Source organism: Homo sapiens, chromosome 1 (assembly GCF_000001405.40).
Source record: "Homo sapiens chromosome 1, GRCh38.p14 Primary Assembly".
Classification (NCBI taxonomy): domain Eukaryota; kingdom Metazoa; phylum Chordata; class Mammalia; order Primates; family Hominidae; genus Homo; species Homo sapiens.
Genome location: NC_000001.11, coordinates 75,511,013 through 75,524,984, shown reverse-complemented (window position 1 = coordinate 75,524,984; position 13,972 = coordinate 75,511,013). Strand labels below are relative to the sequence as shown.

Sequence of the window (13,972 nt, the reverse complement as noted above, 5' to 3'; positions counted from 1 at the left end):
TCTTCTTAAAGAAGCAGGATATATTTATAATTTAAAAAAATTATAGGCAATTTTGAATATAGAGAAAAACCAAAATCATCAGCTGTAATTTCAACAGCCAGTGAACTAATGTTAAAAATGCTATGTACTATATCTTTCCATTCTTTTTTCAATACAGATAAGGATATATATTATAAAATTTGATTCATAAATATATCTAGCCTTATAAAGGGCTGGATATATAAAATACATTATTAACACTTTACAATGTTGTTAAATATCCTTTAAAATATTTTTGCTGACTACATATCATTCCATAACAACAATGTGACATACTTTATTTTCGCATTCTCTTATAACCAGGGAACCATATAACCTTGTTTGCCCAGAGAAATCCTGATATATGACCATTATCCTGAAAAATTAATAAAATACCCTCCTTTACTCCTCATATCATACAAGTTTGGGAAACAAATTGTATGGTTACCTTTCCTGTAATCACTTAATCTACAATTGACAAGTAGCTGTTTTGAATTTTCCAATCTATTTGCTCTTATGAAAATTTTTGGGTGCATTCATGAGGGTGAATTCACCCTCATGTTGTATTAGTTCATTCTCACACTGCTATAAAGAACTACCTGCGACTGGGTAATTTATAAAGAAAAGAGGTTTAATTGTCTTATAGTTCCATAGGCTGTACAGGAGACACGTCTGGGGAGGCCTCAGGGAACTTACAATCATGGTGTAAGGGTGAAGGGGAAGCAAGCACATCTTCACATGGCAGCAGAAGAGAGAGAGCTAAGGGGGAAGTGCCACACACTTTTAAACAACCAGATCTTGTGAGAACTCACTCACTATCATGAGAACAGCAAAGAAGAGATCTGTTCCCAGGATCCAATCACCTCCCACGTGGTCCTTTCTCAAACACTGCAGATTATAATTCAACCTGAGATGTGGGTGGAAACATAGAGCCAAACCATGTCACTTGTATTTCTGTTAAATAAGTAGAATGTCATCAATTGGTCTTAACAGATTTATCTGATTTCAACTTTGCCTACTTTATTCCCTTGGAGAAGGGTTTCTCAACATTGCCACTATTAATATTTTGGCCCAGAAAATTCTTTGTTTTTAAGAGGGCTGTCTGCATTGTAGTATGATTTAGCAGCAACCTTGGCCTCTGTTTCTTAGATGCCAGTAGCATTGCCACTCTCCGGCGTAGCAATCAACAACAACTCCAGATATTGTCAAATGTCCCCTGTGGGGCAAAATTGCCTCAAGCGTGAACCACTGGTTTAGGAAAATGTGCAGGAATAATAGCAGCAACATCCTTCACATCTAGCTTATTTGTCTTAAGTTGTTGTGTTTTTGTTGTAAGAATTGTTTAGGCTGGGGATGGTGGCTCACGCCTGTAATCCCAACACTTTGGGAGGCCGAGGCGGGTGGATCAACTGAGGTCAGGAGTTCAAGACTGGCCTGGCCAACATGGCAAAACTCCATCTCTATTAAAAATACAAAAAAAAAAAAAATTAGCTGGGCGTGGTGTTAGGTGCCTGTAATCCCAGCTACTGGGGAGGCTGAGGCAGGAGAATGGCTTGAACGTGGGAGGTGGAGGTTGCAGTGGGCTGAGATCACACAACTGCACTCCAGCCTGGGGGATCTAACATAACAGAAATGGTAGATATTTCTTGCTCAAGATTATATGAACAAAAGTGACCCAATAGGAATTTAAAACTAGGCTTGTCTGTCCCCAGAGTCATATCCACATGCTACCTGAAGGGCACAGGTAAGTACTACTCTCATGCACTAGTCATTGCTAAACAGGCAAGCAGTAGGAAAAGAAGCATTTTCTCTTCAGTGAGTTCTTGGCAATCATTTGGGAACTACCATGGTAGTTCTTATGTTTTATCATTTGTAAATGGGGTATGGTTGTGTAGAATCAATGAATAGAAACATGCAACTTAGGTCCTGGCACATAGTAGGTGCTAAATATGCATTCATTTCTAGCTGCACTTGTACTAGGGTTATCTTAGCCCTCTGCTAATGAGTCTTTGCAGAACTCTAAGGGGAATCAAATGAAGTGAGACAGAGTATCTTTCCTTCTTTCTACCTTCAAGAGCTGCCCTCTCTGCTTTCCCTTATGTTGAGAACTCACACTTAGAAGAAAAGAACAGGATGTGAACAGACTCCAAGGCATCCCAAAATGAAGCAAGTACAATTTAAGTCACAGAAAGAAATGTTGGTCCCTCTCATTTCCTTCTGTTTCAAAAGCTGTTCGTTCATAATAAGAAAGTCCTTCAAGCTCCAGAAGTAGAGCGCTGCATATCTAGTTTAGTTCAAGGTTGTTTGGGGACAGGTTCTAAGCCATTATGCATATGACTAAAGAGTCGGGAGAGGACCAGACTGGGAAGAGCAACTTTCACACATTCTTGTGCTGGAGTTAATCCACCAGCACTGCCAGTTGATGCCTGAGAGATGAGGGGGTGGGAAAAAGAATCTGGCAGGGCAGACTCTTGAAAGGAAAAGCAGAGAGATAAGATGTCTGAATCACTTTTCCCCTTGAAAACATTACACCAGGAAAGAAAAAAGTGACCTGGATCCCAAATACAGGGATTTCTCAATTATTCTTAACTTATTCTTTTTTTTTTTTTAAAAAAAAGTCCTGATTGTTTTCATGAATATATTATGATACATATTTACAAAATTTATACAGTTTACGTCATGCCATAACACACTGGTGCATTATACACATAGAACACTCCAGCAGTTTGCTCAAAACATTAAGAAACCAGGTTCTGTTACATGTCGTTTGTACTAAAGTCACAAGCATCCTCCTCCTCTTTGGTCATTTTATCCAAATTAAAAGACCTTGAAAACTATTCACCTGCTGTAGACTCCTCAGGCAGTTGCTTTTGCAGGGGAGATATCTGAGCTCTTTTAAACAACTTCTTCACCATCACCACTTTCCTGGGCACTGTGAGTGTTGTGCTTCCTCTCCTCCTGCTCCTTCTCTTCCTGTTTTGGGATTTCTTCAGAGTATGTCTTTTTCCTCTATTATTTTGTGAAACCCAAAGACCAGAAAAGGATGCTGCTGGCTAAACGAGGGCCCCTGATGACTTGTACACTGCGTGCATTGTTTTTTTTCTAGTTCTTCCAGATTAAGCCTCATGTGATGTCTGTCCCAATACTCTCATTAGAATGTGGAGGAGTCCAGGATGTAGGCAAGTGACATTTGTAACTTAAAGGGGCACCTATTCACTCAGACCACAGCAGTACGGCAGCACCTCCTATATTTGAGCTTCTACCTTTTTGGTGTATTCCTTTTCTCTGCACAAGCAAAGCAAAAAATTCCGGAGAATTACTATAGTTTGGGGCAGCAAATTCCAGTTTTACCTGTCAAGCATCAGCCTGGGACCAGATGACACTGGGAGCCTCCATTATCTTAACCTGTTTTTAAATTCAAATTCTCCTTTATGTTTTGTAGTACTCTATGGTTTTTAAACTGTTTTCACAAATATTAGCTCTTTAATCACTATAAAATGATCTCAAGAGGCAAGTCAGACAGATATTCACATTTCAGAAGAGAAAATGAAACCTGAAGAAGTTGTGATTTTTTTTATAGAATTAAGAATGACAGAAGATCCTTGACGCCTACCTCTGTGCTGTCTGCACTTCATCCCAATGCTTATGTCGTCCCAGACGTTACACTATTTCCCTGCTTTTAGACTTTTTCTTGTTTTGACTGCATTTTAAACTAGTCCATCTGTGAATAGTATTTAAAAGTATGATCATGTGGTTGACTTCCCTCAACTTCAATGTGATATTTCAGTGGGCCCACTATGCTGTTTGAAATTTGAATGCTACCCCTGTTTTTGTTTTTCACTTTTGTGTCCTTGTGTAAGGTTGAACAGAGTTTATTGCTGTATGTACATCCCATTTTGAGCTTATGAGAGCTTTTCTGTTAACGAGTTAAGTGTTACTGTGTTTCAACCCCTGCTACCCTGTGTCAGGACAACTGACCTCAGGAATATATTGCTGAGTCATATTTAAAAAAAACCCTTGACCTTTCTCCCTGTCAAAGCAAACTTGAACATATGACAGTGTTGTCTAAAATAGGACAGAGTTGGAATTTATTTTTCAGTAAATTATGGATAATTGAAAAATAGTGTATTGTTAAAAACAGTACAATCTCCCCCTGCCCACTGCCCCACTGTACTCTATTTTCTTACAAGCATACTCTAAAGTGGTGGAAATGATTTTCTTTAGCTATCATGATGCTATTTTAACTTATGCCTCTTAATTCTACTTCATTTTGCGAGTCTTTCAGACCAAAATTATTATTTCTTCTAAACTGACTTCTTATAGTTTATCATTCCCAGTTGAAATTCTCATTGTCTCCCTCCTTTCCTCCCTTCTTACCCACCTTTCCCCTCCTCTTTCTCATTCTTTCTTTCAATTATCCCTGTCTATTCTTTCATCTATATCTACTGTCTGTCCATCCTTCTGTTCATGCCCCCATTCATCCATTTATTTGGCTTTAGGTAATAGGGAAGCCCATTATTAGCATGCATAATTGTCAAAGAACAATTTCAAAATTTGAAGTTTAAAAGTCTTCTTAAATTGGGTATGTTTAAGTGAGTTTGGGATTGGCCTGCCCATCCCAATTTAAAAACAATTTTTAGAGACATGGTTTAACTATGTTGCCCAGGCTGGTCTTGAACTCCTGGGCTCAAGCAATCCTCCCACCTCTGTCTCTCAGGTAGCTGGATTGCAACATCACTCTGGGCATGCCACTCCAATTTCAAGAGTGTTTCATCATAACAATATTATATTATTATCCCTTAAAATATAATCATTTAACCTAGTGCTCACAATTTATAGGACATTGTGTGATGACAAAAACAAAGACAGCCTTTGCTTAAGAGATTGAAACTTAAAGTCAGTTCAGAGTGTGATAAAAATGGGTTTCTGTCTCCATCATGGTATGTTTTTAAAAAATGACCTTTATGATTTCAGTGACTATGCCATTTCAGTCCCGACCACTTTTCTCCATGATTGAGCTGGTCCTACATCAGCTGTCTCAAGATTATTCCACACTGTAAACTCTAAAGGGAAATGGCCATTGGCCAAGGAGCTTGCTTTCAGCAATCCAAAGAGATGTCTTACTTTCTAAGAGACAACCCTACCTCCCTCTTGTGAAAGACATTATGAGGAATTTAGTTGACTCAGAGCAAAGTTGTTAGAGAGTTGTTGTTAAATGATAAGATATATTCTTTAGGAGATGATAGAGATGTTCACTAAAGGAAGAAAGGTAGTAATGGCTTTAGTCTGCTGAGCTATTATTTGTGGAATATTGCATATTTTTCAAACATAATAGGTTTCCTGTGTTTTGTTATTGAGAATTGTGTGTATATGTGTGTGCATGATGCAAATAATAATTTTTTTTTTTTTGAGACGGAGTCTAGCTCTGTTGCCCAGGCTGGAGTGCAGGGGTGTGATCTTGGCTCACTGCAACCTCTGCTTCCCGGGTTCAAGCAATTCTCCTGCCTCAGCCTCCCAAGTCGCTGGGATTACAGGCATGTGCCGCCATGCCCGGCTAATTTTTGCATTTTTAGCAGAGACGAGGTTTTGCCATGTTGGCCAGGGTGGTCTCGAACTCCTGATCTCAAGTTATTTTCCCTCCTCAGCCTCTCAAAGTGTTGGGATTACAGGCGTGAGCCACCACACCTCGCCAATAATGTTTTAAGCCCAGAAAAATTCATCTTAAGGTAACCTACCTTATCAACTAAGAAATATCTCTCCTGAAAGCGCTCACACTTTGTGCGAAACTTGTCTATTGCCCTTTGTTGAGAAATTAGGATGAAAAAGTTAATTTTTAGAGAGATATTCAGAGTTATAACACCAAAGCCCTGTTTGTGGGTTCAAATGAAAAAATAAGAGCTAGTAATGATTTATTTTTACTAATAACTTTAAAGTATTCTAAACGGCTTTATTGAGATATAATTTACATTTCACAAAATTCTCCCATTTAAAGTATGCAGTTCAGTGCTTTTGAATGTATATACAGAGTTGTGAAACCATCACCAGCATTTAATTTTAGGACATTTTTGTCATGCCAACAAGAAATCTCGTTAGCATTCACTCCCTGTCCCTGTCACACCCAGCCCCCAGCCCTAGGCAACTACTAATCTGACTCTCTCTGTTGATTTTCCTAGTCTGGACATCTCACATGTATGGAATCATACAATATGTGCTCTTTGGGACTGGATTCTTTTACTAATAACTTTTTGTGATTATGGAAGTTATTCTAATTTTAGAAGTTTTTAACAGATAGAATGTTCAAAGAAGAAAATTAAAACGACTTCTAATGACATTACTCCAAAGAAAACAAGTTTAATTATATCGTATGTTGCTTTTCAGATTTTTTTCTATTTATTTGTTTATTTCTCTCATTAATTTGCTTAGCAACATCTATTGAGTACTCAGTATGGATCAACTACAGTGCTGGGCACTGGGCATGCCAGATACACAAGACAAACAGCTTACGGGTTATTGAGGAAATAAGTAATAACCATCACAGCGAGTGCTACAAATGATAAATACAGACTGCTCGTAGTATACAATGGGGACTTAATTTAATTTTCTCTAAAGAAATTATTCAATATATGCCTATTTATATGTATTATAAATAATTGGAACTGTATTCTTAAAACTATATCATGAATATTCTCTCATTTATTAGTTCTTTGAGACTGCTATTTTTAATGACTTCATAATTTTCTGCTGGATGGATATACCAAGTTTATTGGAAATTTGAATATTTCCTCGAATTTAAACTGCTCATAAATGACATTCATCCTGAGGTTTAAAGTAGAAAAAAGCTTACATGTGGAAGCAAATGAACTTATGGCCAATATTTGCCAATTAATTCCTTCGAATATATATGTAGCTTTAAGATCCCTCTAGAATCAGGACCTAAGATTTATGGCTTCTGAAGATAAAGGTGTTCACAGCATTCCTTGTTTAATAACTACTCTCACTGCCATTGACTTAAGACATTTGGGAAATCTCAGAGAAATCCAGTAGAAAGGATGGCCAAAAAGAGCTCTGAGGGGATTTCTTGGCCCTCTCTGGCCTCCAAAGCACTTTCTAACTATTCTCAGAAGAGCCTGGAGAGATTGTCAATAAGACAGGGACAGGAAAGTTACTGTTGAAAACTCTTAGAGATGCTGATGATAGAATCGTTGATGTTCAAGAAATATTTTTTCTTTGATGTTTATGAGTTTATTTGCTTTCTACTTTTCTTTTTCAAGCCTTTTGCTTCTTCTGCTTTTTGCATGACATGTCCTCTATTTATGTGAAATCCTTCCTGTTGCATGCAGTCAGATCTTATTGTCAGCTGTCTCCCCCGGGGTCAAAGACATCCAAACATAAATCCTCTCTTGTCGGCCTCTTGCTTTTCTCCTACCCTTTGTGTTTTGCCATTTTCTTCCCGCCTTTTGCTTTCCCGCTTTTGTTTTTTTGGGGCTGTTTGATCCACCTCCACTCCTTTTTTTTAGGTCATAAAGTTTTTTTTTGTCACTGACTTTTTTTGGGTCACAAGGTCTTTTTTTAAATTCAGTGGTATAGCTGTCCCCCTTTTCAATCTATTGTGCCTTGGTGTTCTCTGCTGCCTCTCTTTCTCTCTCTCTCCCTCCCTCTCACTGTGTGTTTATTTAATATGTGTTTCACCTTAGCTCTCCTCATTTGTGATCCTGAATTTGTGCAGGAGCGTCTCACACATTCTATATAGTCTCGGAAAGGGCAGACAAATTAAAAGAAAAGGATTGAGACTGAAAGAAAACATTGAAATGAACAGAGCAGCTATTGATCCTTGATGAAACAACAGCTCCAAATGTAGATTCACTTTAAAGAAGGACAAACTGAAGAGGAAATTTCTCAACATATTGCTCCTATTAAGAAGTTCCCTACCTTAAGTCCAGAGATTCATCATTGTTTTGAAGGAAGACCTCTAAAAATAGGCTAGTTATAGAAGTATGATTATTTAGAGAGCCACATGCAATTCTTCCCATGAACAGAATTGATAATTTTAGAGACTTATAATGGGAGATACTCTAGGATGCAGCAGCTAAGAGCCACTTTGAAATAGATTTTAAATGATAGATTTTAAAATTTAAATACACCATATGACAAAAAATCGTTATTTAAAAGTTCTTACCCCAGCTTGCAGGAAGAGATGGTCAAAGAGCTTATTTGACAAAACTTGTTGGGCGACTGTGTGCCATGCATTGTGCTGGATGCTGGGAACCTGTAGGTGAATCAGCATGCACGGTGCCTACCCTGGTCATAATCTAACATAGAACTTAGATTCATTCTCCCATCAGTTCATTTATTTATTCCCTTAATATAAATGAACAAAGTCTTAAACCTTGACCTCATGTAATCCACAGTCTGAGTGTAGCTTATTTTTTTTATTTTTAATTTTTTTTAGTAAGACGGAATCTTGCTCTGTCCCCCAGGCTGGAGTGCAGTGGTGCGATCTCCGCTCACTGCAAGCTCCGCCTCCCAGGTTCACGCCATTCTCCTGCCTCAGCCTCCTGAGTAGCTGGGACTACAGGCGCCCGCCACCACCACGCCCGGCTAATTTTTTGTATTTTTAGTAGAGACAGGGTTTCACCTTGTTAGCCAGGATGGTCTCTATCTCCTGACCTCGTGATCCACCCGCCTGGGCCTCCCAAAGTGCTGGGATTACAGGCGTGAGCCACCGCGCCCGGCCTGTGTTTATTATCTATGGGAACTCAGGCTTTAGATAAGGAATTTGGAAACTCACATCTTAAATCTAGAAAGAATGGTATTTCTGCAAAGATAGATGATTTCAGATTGATATACGATTTTTGAAATAACCAAGAATTTTTTATAGTGGCTCTATTATAATTGGAAAACTGAACTGAATAATTTCTTAAGCCCCTTTCAATTATTTAAAAAGTTTTTTTAATACTCGACATTGCTAATCACTAGAGAAAAGCAAATTAAAACCACAATGATATATTATCTCACACCTGTCAGAATGGCTGTTATCAAAAACACAAAAGATAGCAGTGTTGGCAAGGATGGGGAAAAAAAAAAACCCTTGTACACTGTGATGGGAATGTAAAGCCATTATATAAAATTCTATAGAGGTTCTTCAGCAAGCTAAAAATAGAACTACCATATGATCCAGCAATCCTATCTCTGGGTATGAACCCCCAATATTTGAAATCAGTTTGTTGAAGAGATGTCTGCACTCCCACGTTCATTGCAGAATTACTGACAATGACCAGTTATGGAATCAGACTAAATGTCCATCAACAGATGAATGGATTAAAAAAATGAAATAAGTGTTCAGCCTTAAAGAAGATAGAAATTCTGTCATCTGCAACAACATTGATGGAATTGGAGAACATCGTGCTGAGTGAAATAAGTCAGGCACAGAAAGAAAAATATCTCACATTCTTACCTACATGTGGAATCTAAAACAGTTGAACTAACAGAAGCGGAAGGTAGAATGGTGGTTACAGAGGCTGAGGTGTGTGGGGAATGGGAAGATAATGGTTAAAGGTACAAAATTTCAGACAAGAGAAATATGCTTGCTTTTTTTTTTGACATCTATCATGCAGCATTGTGAATATAGTTGATAATAGAATATTGTATATTTCAAAATTGCTAAGAGTAAAGTTCAAATGTTCTTACCACAAAAACATTAAGTATTTGACGTGATGAATATGTTAGCTAGCTTGATTTAGTTATTCCACATGACATTCATAAATAATAACATCATTTGTACCCCATAAATTTATACAATTATAAGTTGTCAATTTACAATAAAATAAACATTTACAATAACCAAAAACGGAGAAAATAGTGAAACAACACACAAAAAGTGAAGAGTAAGAGAATGATAAGCTGAACTGCATTAATACTGTGGTTTTCAAGTTATGCTGCAATTAATATTGCCGAGATGTATTGTGCATACAGTCTAACTATGAGATCCTAATATAGTTCAATAAAATTACTTGGATTAAAAAACCTTTTCTGATTTTATTTATGTCTATTTTATCAGTTGATCTCCATCCATAGGGTCCATGTACCTGAAAGACAGATACTCAGAGAAGATAAAATTACAGTTTCTGTAGCAAAACATCATATTTTCTTTTCAGTCTTAACAGGTACCCCAAAATTGTACTGGAAATATGGTCTGGGTTTGTACTTATAGATCAGTGTAGTTCTTTTGACTCTAACAATTCACTTTTATTCATAATTTAATATTTAAATCAAAAGTCTGTTGTTGCCTTTGCATAGTCTAAAATGAACTGCTTAGCTGGTGCAACCCATGTGTTTTCCTATGATGTGTGTTTAAAGACACTAATTACTTAATGAAGTACCAAATAATGTGTTCCAAATAAAATTTATTTTGGTGAAAGAGAGATTCTCAGATTAGAGGGAAGGAGTCCAAAAAGAAATGAATCATGCCCATTCAGTGTCTGTTATGTCTCTGTTTTTCACTTGGATGCCATGTTAGCATTTCCTTTGGGGCCTGTAGAGTATCTGAGTACTTCACATGATGACCGCACTGACTCATCTGGAAATGTAACACATTTTTACAAATTGTTGTCACTCTCAGAATTTTGGTGTGACAGACAAATGTTGGCTGAAAGATAAGTATATAAGAATATAGATCAGCTTTGAGAGGCTCAGAAGGTGGATTTAAAGTATACAGCTATCAAGTCTTAGCTCATAATTTTTGGTTCAAACAAATGTGAAGAAGAGACATTAAACAAGAGCCAACCAGTACAGAGTTCTTTTTTATATTAATAGTGACAAGGGGACTGGGTGCTCATGGCCCACTCCAGTAACGCCAGTGCTTTCGGAGGATGAAGAGGGCGAATTGCTTGAGGCCAAGAGTTCAGGACAAACCTGGGCACTATAGAGAGACTCCAGCTCTACAAAAAAAAATTTTTTTTAAATTAGCCAGCTGTGGTAGCCAGGTGTGATGCCTGTACTACTAGCTACTTGGGAGGCTGAGGCAGGAGGATTGCTTGAGCCCAGTAGTTCAAGGCTGCAGTGAACTATGATTGTGCCACTGCACTCCAGGCTGTGCAACAGAGCTGTAATTCAAATAGACAATGATAATATGGCAGTCCTTTATATAGCATTGATTTAAAATTAGAATAAGATTCAATATACTCATCATACAATGAAGAGAAGAGCCAATAGGAAAAGTATAATTTTCTCTTCAAAGGCTCCCTTTTGTATGTTGGATTGGAACTCCTTGTCTACCTCTAGCTGTGTACCAATCAAGATTGGTGCATAGCATTCATTTCCAAGTGAGTGGCTGGCAAGTTTAACTAGGAATTTAAATCTAACTAGAGTTGTTTTAGATGTAAAAAAGAAAAACATATTTTTGTTTGTATCTTCCATTTGAGATAAGCTTCAAATTTAGTATTAGCCCTCTGATATATTCTACAAATCAAGCTGGTTTTGTTCTTAAGCTTTTATGTTATAGGGCAGTTTATTCCATCCAATTATCTAGTACCAATTGGTAAAGCTATGGACAAAGCTGCACTTTACAAATGCTCAGATTTTAAACTCTATGAATAAAATATCTAACTATGAATTTGAGAAGCCAAGTGACTGCATTGTAATAAACATGATTCCTCCATTAAAATAGTGTATACCGGCAAGTGGATTTGTGGAATGTGTTATGCCAGTTCATTTAATTCAGACTCCACATGAGCTTTGCCTCAATTATAAATGTTGGCTGTCTGTATAAGCCACTATTGGACTTATCCCTTCTGTTTAATCTTGTCTGTGTAGTTGAGATTCAAGTCTCTCTTCAGTTGCACTGGACAGAAGATTTGACTTCCAATTCTGGATTTGCTATTTACTAACCATATGACATTGAGCAAGTATTTTATCTCAGGCTCAAGGTTCTCATATGTGAAATGAACCTAACAGTATCATCCTTCTTAATTGATAGAGTCATTGTGAGAATCAAATAGAATTAAGATAATGGATGAAAAAGTCCCGAATACTATGATCAGCCCAAGTAAATTAGTAATAATAATGAAGTAGGCATGGTTAGCAAACACACAACAAAGTGAAACTCATGGCATAAAATATCTGTGGGAAATGTAAATATGGGATATGATTCCATAGCTATTTCTTTCCCATCCCTCTTTGGCTAGTTAGCTCTGCATCAGCCTTCCTCAGGAGAATCTTACCAACTGCCTTCTCCTCTACTCCTACTCCATTACAATGGGTACTACGTGTATTACCTCCAATATACTCTTATGATCACTACGCTTCATAGTACTACATCCAATATCTACTTGTGTGCATATTATGTTGTCTCTCTCATTAGCTTCATGAGAGTAGGAACTTGTTTGTTTTGCTCACATACTTTAACATCAATACACTGTGTCTGACACCAAATCATTGTTGAATGATTGTTGGATAAAAGTTTCAGCTGTTAATATGCTTATCTAAATCAACTTCAGACACTAACTAAAAATTGGATTCAGAAAATGCTAAAAAAAACTCAAGAAAGTAATCTACAGAGGTGAAGGCATAGTCAGTCATTCTAGTTAAAATGGGATTAATTTTGCTTAGTCTAAACCCAGATGCAGACTGCCATCTTTTGGGCCTTCGGCTCGGAGTAAACTTGATTCTTTTAATATTACATGAAAGGGATTTCTGGTTTTAGTACTCTTTATTGAACTGCAGTCAGTCATCTTAGATGTTGAAAATCTGCTTGTAAATAAATTTTGAGTCAATTTTTATTTTTCATTTATAAAATAATTCCTTAAAGTAGATTATATATTTAGGGAGAAATCCGTATCTCAACGCTTTTATTTTTTACGTGGGCTGTGCTTATTTACATGAGCACATTTTCATTTATTGAGGCCAAGCTATAGCACATCAACTTGATTGCTCTGTGGACTTAGCACAGGACTCAGAAGCTAATGAGTTCCTGTCACAGCCCTCCACATAACTTTTCGTGGCCTTCTGCAGTCAGTAAGCCCTTCTGGACTTAATGTCCTAGCTATGTAGTTGAGATTATAATATGAGTTTCTTTAATGCCTCACTTGAATGGGAAGAGGATTAATGAATAGTCTGGCTTGACCCTAATGGCGAGAAAGAAATAAATCATTTGCTTTTTAAGGGGTTCACTAACTCTTTGAAGCTAGCAGCTATTTAGTGCTTGGAAAGATAATTTATTAAATGACCCCAGGCTAGCCTTAAAGATGTAATGCACATCCCCAAACTGAGAAATTGTCCACTTCTTACTGGCAAAAACAGGCATCCCATCTTTTAAGAGTGACTTTCATAAAAGTGCATTAGTTATATCACTTTGTTAATCCCTTGTAAAAATAATGCTGGTGAAATTGTACTGGGAATATATTAAAATAAATTTAATAGATGATATTTTTTAAATAAGAAATACTCTGCTAGGCTGATTTTATATTATTCTGCATTTGTAGTTTTTTTGGATAAAAATTTCAAGCAGATTCTAAAAATCACATGTGCTTTTATCGTAGCTGTGTTTATTCAATACCCCTGCCCATCCATAGCCTTTATGTATATTTTTAATTAACTGATATAATTACCGTGTAAAAGTCTATGAAACATGTTTGACATTTAAAAGAAGTCCCTATACTTGAAAAGTTCAGAAAGTAATGTCCAATAACAAATCTAACTATATTTAGAATACAAGTCTGACTACATTTAGCATTTCTGTTCCTGACTATAGCAAGATCTAAGGCAACATTTTGAATTTTTCCCAAGGTTTGTGCCATTTTTTCTTTTCTTTTTCTTTTCTTTTTTTCTGAGACGGAGTCTCGCTCCGTCGCCCAGGCTGGAGTGCAGTTGCGCGATCTCAGCTCGCTGCAAGCTCCGCCTCCCAGGTTCACGTCATTCTCCTGCCTCAGCCTCCCGAGTAGCTGGGACTACAGGCTCC

At 37.2% G+C, this 13,972-nt stretch overlaps 1 protein-coding gene and 1 pseudogene across 11 annotated transcripts in view, besides 1 other annotated feature; one reads left to right on the top strand and one right to left on the bottom strand.

Moving 5' to 3' along the window:
- Window positions 1-13,972, top strand: part of SLC44A5 (solute carrier family 44 member 5) — a 521,887-nt gene that overhangs the window by 199,031 nt on the left and 308,884 nt on the right. The window lies entirely within an intron of this gene.
- LOC100422213 (G protein nucleolar 3 pseudogene) lies at window positions 2,784-3,620 on the bottom strand (annotated as a pseudogene).
- Window positions 10,434-10,634: a silencer, noted in NCBI's record as "peak289 fragment used in MPRA reporter construct". NCBI's record gives its function as "represses an SCP1 promoter by STARR-seq MPRAs in K562 erythroleukemia cells {active_cell/tissue: K562}" and the evidence as "EXISTENCE:reporter gene assay evidence [ECO:0000049][PMID:32103011]".